Source organism: Homo sapiens, chromosome 9 (assembly GCF_000001405.40).
Source record: "Homo sapiens chromosome 9, GRCh38.p14 Primary Assembly".
Taxonomy (NCBI): Eukaryota; Metazoa; Chordata; class Mammalia; order Primates; family Hominidae; genus Homo; species Homo sapiens.
In genome coordinates, this window is record NC_000009.12 from 68,234,062 (window position 1) to 68,248,711 (window position 14,650).

Genomic DNA, 14,650 nt, shown 5'->3' on the forward strand with positions numbered 1-14,650 from the left:
AAAAATGATGAATGATGTATTTCTAATTCTAGTGAGAAGGAAAGAGTATCAGTGCATATTGTCAAGTGAAGAAAGCAAGCTCCAGAACAAAGCCTATGTATGTTCCTATTTATTAAAAACAAAAGCCACATATGTATACAAATGTACTCTATCTTTCTGTTATAATTTTATGAATGCACATGTATGCAAATACATATATTCATATACATAAGACTTAGTCTAAACAGGAATATTCTTTCAGGAGGGAATCTTGCTTCTCCTACAGAAAAATACCTAACATGGCAGGGGCAAAGGTAATATTGGACCAAAAAAATCTGGACCTATGTCTATTAAATTGCTCACAGTGTTTATATAATATCGGTGAAGGGAAGTAAAATTGAGGTTAGTGAAAGATACTCCACGTTTTACCCTAATACTTTTCTACTGTTTGAATTTTTTATAGTTATAATACATTCAGGTATAATACATAATTTATATATAAATACTATATATATACACATACACACACATATATATATATGTGTGTCTATATATATTTTAATAAGAAACAAGGTCTTTCTCTCTCACCCAGGCTGGAGTGCAGTGCAGTGATCATAGCTCACTGTAACCTCAAACTCCTAGGCTTGCGTGATCCTCCCACCTCAGCCTCCTGAGTAGCTGGGACTACTGGTGCATGCCACCATGCCCAGCTAAGTTTTAAAATTTTTGTAGAAACAGGGTCTTGCTATGTTGCCCAGGTTGACCTTGAACTCCTGGCCTCAAGAGATCCTTTCCCCTCAGCCTCCCAAAGTGCTTGTATTACAGGCATGAGCCACTGTGCACAGCCTACTTATATTATTTAAAAAACAATTAATCAAATAAGTTGGTTAGGATTAGTTTCAGTGGCATAAACAGAAACTTAAACAATGTGAAAGCTTATTTCTGTCTCCTTCTGCCAGGTGAACACACAGTGTTCATCCCCTCAGGAGGACACAGCTTTTGAGGTACCATCTTGGAAGCAGAGACCAGCCCTCACTAGACACAAACTTCCTGGCACGTTGATTTTGGACTTCATAGCCTCTAGAACTGTGAGAAATAAATTTTTATTATTTATAAATTACCCTGTATTGGATATTTTGTTATAGCAGCACAAAAGGTCTAAGACAATGACTGAAGGACGGAGCTATAGGACTCAAAAGACCCTGGTCTTGAAGCCAGAAAGACCTGGCTTTGCCAGTAGCATGGTATTTCAATTAAGTATGATTAAACACTCTTCGAGGGAATAGAAAGGGGAAGGAAGAATGGAGATGGATCATTTGTTTCATGCCTTTTACTTACGTGTAAGGAATTATGAGCAGGTGCCTATGGATTTTGGAATATGCTTCTCTAACACTATAAAAATTAGAAAGTGAAACTTATAGCCACAAATGTCCATTTAAAATTTCTAATGACAATGGAAGAAATTATTTAGACTCTCTCCTAAACTATTACACCATACATCATTGCAAAACATTTTTTTTCATTTTGCCCAACCTCCACTCCTGTCATTCCACCACTCCTATAGTATCTAAAATATAGTTTCTTTTAGAGAGATTGGTGCACCACTCAACTTGTCAGCTTGAGGGCTTTGAATGGTGTTTTCTTTTTTTTTTTTAATTTCATGGCAAGCTGACTTACAAGTGACTCAACTGTAAGCTAAGACTTATTAATAGCATGGTTTAACCACCAAAGATAATGAATTCAAACAATGTTACTCACAGCCTTTAATGTCACAGCCCCTAAAAACATTGAAATGTACATTTTTCACCTGCTAGTCATCTTCAGTATTCTGGAGAGGAAATATTCTTTCCTGTCCTTACAGTGGTTGTATATCTTAAAAGACGACTATATGACACTTGAATATTGATATTCAACCTTAACCAAAGCAGTCACAAGAATACAAGCCATTGACCTCTGGCCTTTTAGATATGTTCCCAACAAGTTCATGTGTACCCAATGAAAAATGTTAAATAAACTGATAAACTTTAAACATTTAAAAATATTTTATTTATTTACTTGCCACAGCTAGATAAGAGGAACTGGGTTAATTTTGAAACTCTCAGCTTCCTTTCCTCTAAACCAGTAGCTATTGCTGGCCACTAGTATGTTGTTTCCTTTGCAGGAAGTTGCAAAAATGAGAAAGAAAAAAACGAAAAACAAAACCAAGTTGGTATTATTTTTAGCTTTCTTCTTATTTGGATATAGCTACAGTTCTTTTTCTTATGGTGATTAACATAACTATTCAAGAGAGAAGAACCAAGCAAAGGGGAGTAGTAGGGAATTAGTAGGGAATTGTGCCAAAGGACATATGGCAAGGTTATTGTCAGAAAGCTGAGCTGCTGAAATCCAGACAGTTTAAGAGCTTATCTGCTCTGCTCTGCTCCACCTAGGAGGACTCCTACTACAATGCAAAGACTCAAGTTTCACCTTAATTAGGTCTTTCCCAGGCCAGGTATTAGTGACCTTGGGAAAAAAGTTTAAGCTTCTCAGCTTCAGATCTTCCTCTGAATATTAGCACTGTGGTAATTGGCACAGTGGTACCTAACCCTTTGAGGGTCCAGGATTGTTTTAATGGTGAGTGATTTACAAACTGAGTTTAAAAGAGCAAGGAGGATCCAATTTCGCAAAATTTCATTAACTCTGCTTAAGAAAACAGTATATTATATTAGCTTAGATCAGGAGTTGGGAATCTATAGCCTGCTACCATTTATTGTGTAGCCTGCAAATGGTTTTTACATTTTTAATACATTGGAAAAAAAATTAAAGAAGATTATTATTTCGTGATGTGAAAATTATACATGTTGAAAGGAAAACTTTAGAGTTTAATTGAGTAAAGAATGATCTGTGAATTAGGCAGCCCCCAGAACCAGAGTAGGGTTGGTTACAGCTGAGCATTTGCCTTATTTGAACCTGGTTTGAAGAGTTGGCTGCCTGTGGTTGGCTGAAGTTCAGCTGCTGTGATTGGCTGAGACTCACTACTTGTTACAAGAGTAGGTTACATATCAAGTTTTACATATCAAGTTGAAATATAGTTTTTTATGTACTGGGAAACCTTTAGGGTAAACTTAAATTATGTAAGGAGGCAGCTTTAGGCCACAATGAATTTAACAATTCCTCCTTTTGGTCAACCTGTCAATTTTGAGAGGATGATTAATTTTGAGGTTGCCCAAAACTTTAGGCACTGACATCACTTTTTATCATCATAAATAGAGTTATTTGGTCTCTAATCCCATTGGAAAATAGCAGAACACTGGATTTTGTAAGGTGGGAACAAGGAAACAGTATAGAAAAAAAAACTGATTGGTTAACATCAGATTACTTTTTTATTTTTTTGTCACCCAGGATGGAGTGCAGTGGCACAATCTTGGCTCACTGCAACCTCACCTTTCGGGTTCAAGCAATTCTTCTGCCTCAACCTCCCAAGTAGCTGGGACTACAGGCGTGTGCCACCACACCCAGCTAATTTTTGTATTTTTAGTATAGACGGGGTTTTGCCACGTTGGCCAAGCTGATCTCAAGCTCCTGACCTCAGGTGATCCACCCGCCCTGGCTTTCCAAAGCGCTGGGATTACAGGCATGAGCCACTGTGTCTGGCTGAGATTGCTTTTTTGTAAGTAATCTGTTGTTACTTTGGGTTACTTTTCTGTAAGGGATAGAGCAGAGGGGACTTCCTTATTATACTGGAATCTTCTGTCTTCAGGAGAAGAAAAAAAAAAACTCGTCTATTTTGGGACCTGTTTTTTAAAGTTTTAGTTTGATTTTGTGGTGCTTAGCATGAGCGACTCCATTTTGGTTTGGTCTGGTCTGCTTGGGATTAGTGCAGGAGCTCAGTCCAAAACAATGGCCTCTCATAATTTTGTTTAATACATGAAATTCAAATTTCAAACTTGTAGACATTTGCTCTCTCTCTTATTATATAAGTACCTACACAATGTCCTCAAATTTGCTTTTTGATCTGTAAAGACTAAGATATTTATCATCTAGTTTTACAGAAGAGTTTGCAGATCTTCTGGTTTAAAAGAGCAGGAGATTTAGTGTCAGGCAGGTTTGGATTGAGCCCAAGGGCTGCCATTTACTGATTGTATGACTTTGAGCAAGGTATTTATCTTTTCTAAGCCTCAATTTCCTCATCTATAAAATGGGCACACAAATAGTATTTACCTTGGAGAGTTAAATGGGATAATGCATTTAATGTGCTTAACACAGTGCCTATCAGATGCTTAGGGGCTCAAAACATTATTATTGTTGTTGCTGTTGTTGTTTTACCCTAAAGTAAATGAGACAAAATAGCAAAGCTAGATGAGGAGGAATTTTTAAGATACATCAGAAACTGTAATAGATTCTAAAATATTATAATTAAGAAATTTCATACTTATTTAAAAAGGCATTTTCAATTTAACAATTTAACAATTTAACCCTCTTATAAGTTAAAAAAAAAAAAAAAGCCCGGCACAGTGGCTCACGCCTGTAATCCCAGCTCTTTAGGAGGCTGAGGTGGATGGATCAGGAGGTCAGGAGTTCAAGACCAGCCTGGCTAACGTGGTGAAACCTCGTCTCTACTAAAAATACAAAAATTAGCTGGGGGTGGTGGTGCATACCTGTAATCCCAGCTACTCAGGAAGCTGAGGCAGGAGAATCGCTTGAACCCGGAGGCAGAGGTTGCAGTGAGCCAAGATCGTGCCACTGCACTCCAGCCTCGGCAACAGAGCAAGACTCCATCTCAAAAAGAAAAAAGAAATAAAAATAAAAAGTCATGCCCAGCTATTTTGGGAGAACTGAAATTACAACTCTATCTGAGAAAATAAAATGACAGGACTCCACAGAATCCATAGATAAAAACTTAACTGAAGAGGAATATGGAACAGACTAAAGGAAAAATTTTATCAAGCTGTAATCTTTATACTTGTGCCTAAGGCCAGAACTTGAAACTGCTGAAGACAGTGTTTCTCTACAAATGCACACAGGCACCCCATTTTGATGCACAGATAGGTGTTTATTTCTTTTAAGAATAGCAGCTTTATTGAGATAAATTTCACATATGATACAATTCACCAATTTAAAGTGTACAAGTCAATGGTTTTCAGTATAATCAGAGTTGTACTACCATCACCATAATCAATTTTAGAACATTTTCATCACCGCCCAAAAACCACTGTAGTCTCTCCCCAGTCCTCCACTCCTGGGAACCATTAATGTACTTTCTGTCTCTATAGATTTGCCTATTTTGGTTATTTTATATAAATGGAATCATACAACATGTGGTCTTTTGTGAATAGCTTTTTTCACTTACCATAATGTTTTCAAGATTGATTCATTTTGTAGCAGGTATCAGTCCTTTTTCCTGTTTATTGCCAAATAATTTTCCATTGTACGGATAGATCATATTTTGTTTATCCATTTGTCACATTTTGGTTGTCTATCAGTTGATAGATATTTGTGGTGCATTTAATTTTTGGCCAATGTGTAAAACTTATTTTGCTCTCATTGAGGCTACATACTGTTACAACAATGCTATTTGGTCAACTTGACTGAGCTGGCCTCATAGGTTACAGGTTGTTCATTGTTAGAGATGAGACTTTAGACCAGACTGGACAACATAGTGAGACCCTGTCTCTACCAAAAAGAAAAAGAAAAATTAGCCAGATGTAATGGCATATGACTGGAGTCCCAGCTACTTGGGAGGCTGAGATGGGAGGATCACTTGAGCCCAGGAGTTTAGGACTGCAGTGAGCTGTGATCGTGCCAATGCAATCCATGCTGGGCGACAGAGTGAGACCCTGTCTCAAAAAACAGAAAGAGGGATTTTAGTATAACATTCAGCCAGTGCCATATTGGGAACCCACAAGAATGTACTTTTAAAAATATGTCAAAGAAGATGGTGAGGGCTGTAATAGCTGCTATTCAGGCAGTAATGCAGTGCTGAAGGGACATCAAGCAAATAGTGTGATGCCTGTGGGTGCAATGTTACTCCTTCCCTTAGGTTGCCAAAAAAATCAATACTTCATAGCATTCCTGAAACGAAAAAGCTTATGAACCATTGTGTTTAGGGCGTAAGCTATCTATTTTGGGCTACCCATCACAGCTTCTCTCCTTTGGCAGAATACAGTGAACTGAACCACCACACCTAAGGTATTTGCCTTATTTCTTCCTCAGCTGGTTCATGGTTACATTGTCAAAGCTGGCAAAGCATTCAAGACCTGATTTCTCAGACCGAGTGTATGTGTGAATATAATATACTCATTTGCACAAATATAAACCCTCTGTCTTAACTGTGTTCTGCAAAAGGCGTGATAAATACTTTCAAGTTATATGTACTTATCAGTAGAACTAATGGAATACACACAGTATATTTTATGGGGAATTTCAGAGAAGGAAGGAAAAGTCAACCTTTTATTTGGCATCAGGATAGTAGTAAAACATTCTACTTGTGCATCAGATAGATTTTTATGACCTAACCTGGACAAGTAACTTAACTCTTGGTGCCTCATGTTTGAAAGAGGGATAACACTCTACAGGGTCATTCTAAGAATTACATATTGCCAAAACACATGAAAAGATTCTCAACCTTGTTAGTAATCAAGGAAATGCAAATGAAGATCACAATGAAGTCTTCTTTTGTACTCAATTGATTGGTGAAAAATGCATGCCTGATAATATTGACATACAGACCAATGAGATCTCTTATAATTTGCTGGGAAAATGTATCAATTTGTACAAACATTTTGAAAAATAATTGTGCATTTTCTTGTGAAGTAAAACATTTGAATAATCTAGGACCCAGCAATTCAACTCTTAGACACTCAAGAGGAAGTTGCACACACATATGTCAGGAAAAATGTTCATAGCAGCCCTGTTCATAAGAGCAAAACCTGGAACAATTGAGAGGAAATGAATAAATTGCCGTGTAGCCACACAATAGAATACAAGACAGCAGTGATGCTGAAAAATATAGCAAGCCTCAGGAGTTTATATATTATATGGATAATTTTATGAAGCTCAAAAACACCCAAAATTAAACAACATATTCTCTAAGTACATACGTGGGATATGTGATAAAACTAAAAAGAAAACAGGGAAGGATCAGCAATCCAGAACCAATTCATGACTGTTGTTACTATCTTATGGGGCAGGCTGTGGATTGGAAGCGGGGGCGGTGCACATAGGTACGTGTAGCTTACTGGTAATGCTTTTATGTTAGGAATGAGGTCAAAGGAGTTCACTATAAATTTATATTAGAAAGAAGGGCTATCTATGGATTAGTGATGAGAGTGTCATGCACCAGCAAATATGATTAATGAACTTAGGTTACCTGAGGTCCAAATAAATAATGAGAAAAAAGTAAATAAAAGTGATGCATGAATACTAAAAATTTGGAATTACATATATAATATGTAATAATAAAAAAAGAAAAAATTGTCACTGGTTATCCTTCAGGTATAAAAATTACAATTAAAATTGTAATGTTATAACCTTCCATTCTTTCCCCTATGAATTAAAACTTTTTTTTTTAACGAGACTAAAAAATCAAGTTGATAAAATCTATGCCCTGTGGGAACTGGTTAGGTCAGGCTACCCACTCCAGATTTCCAGCAGGCTGGCCTCAGCTCTACCTACAGCCAGTAGCTTATTAAGGCTCTAGGCGCCAGTGACACCTTCAGACAGGTGGTTAGTGCGCCCTAAGGACTCTCCGCAGCGTCGCTCAGGTTCACAGAACACGCCCAGGGGCGTGTCCAGCTGTCGTCGGGGAGAGCCCACCTCCCCGGGGGGTGTGGCTAAGGGACGAGGCAGTTCTCGTCCAGAGCCCAGGTAATCCGGGCGGGATCAGCTAGCGTCGCGATGTGATGACGTCAGGCCCCGGCCAGGCCGGGAGTGGCGTGCTGGGCGTGCGCGGCTGCGGTACGGCGTGTTGGTCCCAGCGGTTCAGCTGAGGTAGGGACGTGCTGTAGGCCGGAATGTTACCGGCTGTTGGATCTGTGGATGAGGAAGAGGATCCTGCGGAGGAGGATTGTCCTGAATTGGTTCCCATTGAGACGACGCAAAGCGAGGAGGAGGAAAAGTCTGGCCTCGGCGCCAAGATCCCAGTCACAATTATCACCGGGTATTTAGGTAACTAACCATCCCAGTCACAAAATGCCGTGAACTCTGGTGTCATGGGATTTTGCGGGCTGCCGGTGCCTCTTCTCCTGAGGCATTGGGGCCTCATGATCAAGAGCAAATGTCTTTGAGGTAGGGGCTGGGTCACTTGCTTCTCGTATGGGTTACCTCTCATCTTGGGAGTTAATGATGCCCGGTCCCCTCTGCGTTAGATTCCCATTTCTCAAGTGAGATGGAAAGTTAGCCTTTGAAACAAGGCTTTGAAGCTAAGACACGCCCCCCTAATTGTCTCTGTGACCTCTTACCAAGTTATCTTACCTTCCTGACGCTCATCTACCTCACCTGAAAATGGAAAAATACCTGTCACCTGTGAAATAGGGCCGGAACAACCTACCTATTGCCATTAAAGGATGTCCCGTCTGTAAAATGCCCGACACGTGGGGCTTTCGTCAGCAGATTCCCCTTCCCCAGGAGCCAAAGTCCTCCAGCCAGTTGGCAGGAAGTGCTCCTATCTTAAACACTTTTCTTTTGAGGTCTGTTTGTAAACCACTGCGTAGGAAGTAAGAATAAAATCTCTGTCCTCCAAGACTATTTCTCAAACTAAGAACGTTTAGAGTGTACAGGGATACTCGAAACCACAAGTTTGTGAACTTGGTAGTTTCGTGAAGGGCGGTTTATGCACTTACACTAGAAGTTTCTTACTGGAAAAGTTTGAGAAATATATTTTTAAACCTTACAGTTAAATAGAAGGGCTAGAACAAATATATGACTGTATTAGAAGTTTGGAAAAAGTTAAGAAATGTAAATAAAATAATACTGTTTCCGGGAAATAATATTCCTAGTTGTTGCTAGAGACAGGTACAGACTTGGGCCACTTCGTGACCTTTTATGTAAAAATAAGAAATAACTGCTTTTGTTTTTTTAAAAACTTTGTAGACTGTAAGTTTATTCCCGTTTTTTGCTCGGAAGTAATTTTATAAAGGAATTTATTTTTGGCGTTTCCCCACAGTTATTCAGAGGCTGCTCTACTGAGAAGATGAACAAATTTCTTGTCCAAAACAATGTATTTCAAACGTGCCCCTCGGGCCTTTCCCGTGTTGCTCACTGGTAGGTCAGTAGATCATTGGAGAAAATGATCTGAAGCTCAGGAGTGAGAATTAATACCAGCAACCTTGTTGCTGAATCTAGGGATAGTTTCACTCCTATCCCTGACCATTTTCCCTTTTTGAAACACTGTTCCTTTGGCTTCTATTACATTTTTCTTCTGATTTTTCCACCTGCTTCTCTGGCTTCTTTTTAAGGCTCCCTCCTCCTTCCCCCTTTGTCCATCTTTAGCTACACACCTGTGTAATTTCTATTTTGATGTCCTACAACTTAAAACTTAACATGTCTGAAACTTCGTCTGTTACCATCCCCCCAAATCCTGCTTCTGTGATCCCAACCATTTGGAATACTCTAAAAGCCTCCTGACTAATCTGGAGTCTTGCTGCCCTTTAATTTATTCGTTGCATGTTAGCCTTAATGATCTTTATAAATGTCAATCCGACTGCGTCACACCTTTCAGTGGCGTCCCTATGGGTTAAAATTCAAATTCCTTAACATGAATTACAAGGACCTGTAGGATCTGGATCTTGCCAACCTTTCCAGCCTGCCAAATTGGCCCCGCACAATAAACTAAGGTTACTTCAAAGGTGCCAAGTGTTTTAGCCCCTTGGAATAGGTACTTTTTTACTGTGACTCCTCTGGCTAGATGTCCCTCTTAGGTTCTCCATAGCATTTTGTGCATCTCCTATTGAATATGTCACCCTGTGACATAATTGCCTCCTTATTCACTGAATTCCCCTCCATTCCCCCCTTCCCTTAATATTTCTAAGCTCTATGAAGGCAGAGACTATCTTGTTCACTTTTTCACCAAGGCCCAGCATAAATCTGTAACGTATTAGAAACCTTTGAATGAATGAACTATGTCTTAAAGTGTTTTTTTTTTTCATAATATGGTTAAAAAGCCCTAGTAAATCTTCTCTTAGAAGATTTCTTACATTCACCCTTTCCTTTCAGTTTTCACATCACTGCCCTGTGAAACACTCATGTTCAGGGCCTCTGTCTCAGGCTTGGACTGGTTTTAAGATCTTCCTCATTGCCCTAAGTCTCTCTCTTCCATACTATACTTCATATTTTTGTGATGTTGAGCTTCCTAAAGTACTCTAAATATAAGCCTTCATCTCTTAAAAAGCTTTGAAAGGAATATGACCTAAAAGATATTAATACCCTAATACTCCGTAAAATCTTCCTAGTTGTAGGAAGATCTAGTTATATACTAGAAAACTTTATTTCAGAAGACATGTATAGCCTACATGTAAAAGTTTTTAGCAGCACTGTAATAGTAAAACACTGGAAACAAACCAAATGTCCAACAAAAAAAAAGATAAAGAAATGATATAGTCATACAATTGAACTACAATACTATGCAGTTAGGATTTTCTTTTTTTCCTCTATGAATTTTAGTGTGTACGGTTCACAAGACTTTTTTTTCTACTGGAGATTGACATATTGGGTTTCATATGCCACCTGCTGGATAAAGTTGGTATAGCTTTATGAATTTATCTTAACTGAACATTCTGTTCATTGTTGACACTACCTGGCTCTATTCCCCATTTCATAAAAACTTTTATAGATTGTTTAAAGCATACTATAAGTAGCCATATAGTCAGCCTGAAGTTGCGTCTCGTTAATGTTGAAATAAAAGGTCACTATAAATAAAAGATTGTGTGTCAATTTTAGGGAAGGTTAGGCTAGGTTGAAGAAACTGTTTCAACTTGTAGGAGTGTTTGTAAATATTTATAAAATTTTATGTCTACATAAAGTATTTTGCAACAGGTTTCAAAGGATGCTTTAATCTTATCCTCTAGGATATTCTATACTAAAATAATATATGAAAAATAGCATGCAAATTCTCAAAAACGTTAGGATTCTTTATATGTTTTTTGTATCTTTAAAATTATTTTGAATTTTTTTATTTACAAAAAATATGTTTTATAGGTGCTGGGAAGACAACACTTCTGAACTATATTTTGACAGAGCAACATAGTAAAAGAGTAGCGGTCATTTTAAATGAATCTGGGGAAGGTAAGTAAAGTTCAATAAATGTCATGTTGCAAGATTTTGTGTGACTGTTTATTCCTCTGGTGAATTGATATTCCATATTTAAAAATGAAAATGCAAGGTATTGTATTGATGTGGATAGCTTTAGAAAAATTAGATTAATTTCTGTTAAGATTTATATGGGTTGAGATACTGAAATTAGTTTTAATAAAATTTTATTTTGTATAACTTTGGAATTCTTATTAACAGAATTAAACTACATTTTTACATGAAATAAATGACTCCAGAAGTAAAAATCTAGACATATGAAAAAACGTTTATTTTTTATTTTATTTTATTTTTTTTGAGATGGAGTCTCTCTCTTGCCAGGCTGGAGTGCAGTGGTGCAATCTCAGCTCACTGCCACCTCTGTCTCCCGGGTTAAAGTGATTCTCCTGCCTCAGCCTCCCGAGTAGCTGGGACTACAGGCATGCGCCACCATGCCCAGATAATTTTTGTATTTTTAGTAGAGACAGGGTTTCACCATGTTGGCCAGGATGGTCTTGAGCTCCTGGCCTTATGATCCACCCGCCTCGGCCTCCCAAAGTTGCTGGGATTACAGGCGTGAGGCACCATGCCTGGCCAAAAAATGTCTTTTTTAGGAATTAGAAAGGCAGTTTTGTATGGACTCTATTGCAACTCATGAAAAATATTTGAAAATGCTTCTGTTATTAGTTAACTTTGTTTAATGTTTATTATCTGCAATGCAGTTAAAACTCAATATTTTAAAAAGAAAGTAAACATATGGTCTTTATCCTCATGTATTTTATCTGTGAAAATAAGTGTGCTTAACTTCTCAACTCAAATATTAAACTGTAGTAAAAAAAAATAGCTCTAGACACAATACTTCTGTTATCTTTATAGGAGTTTTTCTTCATAAGTATGAATTGTAATCAAAGCTCACTTCTAGCCAAAAAACAATATCTATTAGACGATTTCTTTTAAAATGTACTATTTTTTTCAGTTGTAAAAAGTAAAAGAGCTAGGTTTTATGAACAGGATGGGAAGCCAGTTATATTCCAGTTATATTCGATTTCTGATTTTAATAAACTAAAGAGAAAAGTGCTTTTTAGGCAAAAATCCTGAGATTTCTAATAACAGACTGTTTTTTTCATCATCTTATTAAATAACCTATTGCACACTGATTACATTTATTCTTACTATTTTCTTTATTTTTTCCTGGATCATTTTCACAATTTTATTTTTCACAGCATTCTCAATACTTTTCTTCATGTTTCATTAATGTTCTGTATATAGTCCGAATTCTGTAGCAACCTCTTTAGAAGCTCTTTATTAATACCTAGCTGAAATATAAAAAATATGTAAGTGTAAAACTACTCGATTTTATGGGAGCTCATTTGCTTAGTGGACTTTTAGAACTTCACCGTTTGGTATATTTCTTTATTAGAGGAAAAGTAAAACATTTAAAATAATTCTTATAGATAACAAGCATTTCAAATATAGTTTATTCTTTCTTAAGTAAGTATTGCTAGGAAAATATGTGAATTTGACTAAAAGTTTAGGTTTTTTTTTTTTGAGATGGAGTCTCGCTGTGTTGCCCAGGCTGGAGTGCAGTGGCACAGTCTCGGGTCACTGCAACCTCCGCCTCCCGGGTTCACGCCATTCTCCTGCCTCAGCCGCCTGAGTAGCTGGGACTACAGGCGCCCGCTACCACACCTGGCTAATTTTTTGTAATTTTAGTAGAGATGAGGTTTCATTGTGTTAGCGAGGGTGGTCTCGATCTCCTGACCTCGTTATCCGCCCGCCTTGGCCTCCCTATAAGTTTAATTTTTAAATGAGCACATGGTACACTGGCCAAAAACCTTCCTCAGGATGAACTAGGGTTTTTACTCATTGGGAATATTCAGCAGTTTGTCTAACAGAAACAATTTAGAAGAAGAATGAAAAGAAAAAGATAAGGCAGTCTCTTAAGAGGTTGAAGGGCATACAGAATCCAGTATATAAAACATACTAGTCGATTTAGAAAGTTTACCCTGGACAAGAAAAAAATGCCTTCATTAAGAAATGGGGGTGGCCAAGTAAGAGGCCTAAGGAGGAAGTAGGTATGTTTATCAGTTTAGGATGTGTCTTTTTCAGGGCTTAAGACATCTTAAATAAAAGCTAAAATAATGTAGTGTACTGTAATTTAGGTATCAAGGCTGCATGAATAAAGTGAAAGAATATAAGTTATAAAATGCAGTTTCTGCTTTAAGATCTCCATTATTGAGTTATCCTCATCTTTGTTTTTTGTTGGCTAATGGACATAAGCTAAAGAGTGCTGTTTGTTATTTATTCTAGGAAGTGCGCTGGAGAAATCCTTAGCTGTCAGCCAAGGTGGAGAGCTCTATGAAGAGTGGCTGGAACTTAGAAACGGTTGCCTCTGCTGTTCAGTGAAGTGAGGAATGTGTTTACTGTGTACATGGTTTACTAGAAATGTTTATTGATTATATTTCCAGCTTTAATTTTCTTGAGTAATTTAACTGAATTTACACAGTTTGCTTCATTGTATTTTCAAACAAATAGAAAATAAACTTATTAGGAAGCATTTTCTTAAAGTGTTTCTTGCTGTCTTTTCTATCTGCTCTAATGTTTTGGTCCTTTTATTGAGTTTTTATTGCTTTTGATGTCAGGGCTTATTTAATCTCTAGTGCATGAAAGTCTCATATGTAAAAAATGATTATTCTGAATTTAATCTGTCATTGGTCATACTTCTAAGTGTTCAACCTTATAAAAAATAAATGACTATCAAAAAAGAAAAACCTTACATTATGTTCTAGTAGTTAAGTTTCCAAGGACAGTGATCACTAGTCTACCATAGACCCTAGAAGAGTTACCCAACACATAGTAGCACTCAAATATTTGTTGAATGAATTATAAAAATGACTACTTGTATTGTTAATTTTGTGTATTCTAGTGAATTAAATCTCTTCGGCATCATTTACTCCCTTAGGTATTTGACTTTGTGTCAAATGTTTTGGCAAGGATAAAATTATAACAGACTTTCTTGAACAACCAAAATGTAATCTATTAAGGATTTTCCTTCACTTTTGATAAAATAAGAAAAAAGGAATTTAAAACCTTGCATCCTAATGTAAAATAGAATTATATGGTGTTTAATATCAGTGTCCCTTTAGCTATTATATTAAACTACTATAGTTAATAAATTTTATCATTATTTTGTATGTTGGTTTTTAAAAATTTCATAAAGCTATAAAAAGATACTTGGTCAGATAAAGTTTCCTCTGCTTTTAATTTTAATAAAGTATTATTATGTATATGATTTCTTTTTACCTATTATATATATGCATCTATTGTTTTCTCACTGGTAAATATGGGACAGACATTTTGTTAGAAGGTTAGAAGTGAGTTAAATTTTCACATTCCTAAGGATACTTTT

At 36.9% G+C, this 14,650-nt stretch overlaps 1 protein-coding gene across 7 annotated transcripts in view; it reads left to right on the top strand.

Annotated features, from left to right (window-relative positions):
* The first annotated feature begins 7,921 nt into the window (after positions 1 to 7,921).
* ZNG1C (Zn regulated GTPase metalloprotein activator 1C) overlaps positions 7,922 to 14,650 on the top strand; it is a 58,053-nt gene continuing 51,324 nt past the window's right edge. For 6 of the 7 annotated variants that reach the window (NM_201453.4, NM_001378113.1, NM_001378114.1 and 3 more), the window contains exons 1-3: positions 7,922 to 8,124; positions 11,152 to 11,238; positions 13,552 to 13,648. In NM_201453.4, coding sequence (NP_958861.2) covers positions 7,971 to 8,124; positions 11,152 to 11,238; positions 13,552 to 13,648 — 338 coding nt within the window. In that variant the 5' untranslated portion in view covers positions 7,922 to 7,970. The remainder of the gene's footprint in view (positions 8,125 to 11,151; positions 11,239 to 13,551; positions 13,649 to 14,650) is intronic. The other variant, NM_001378115.1, reaches the window with a different exon arrangement.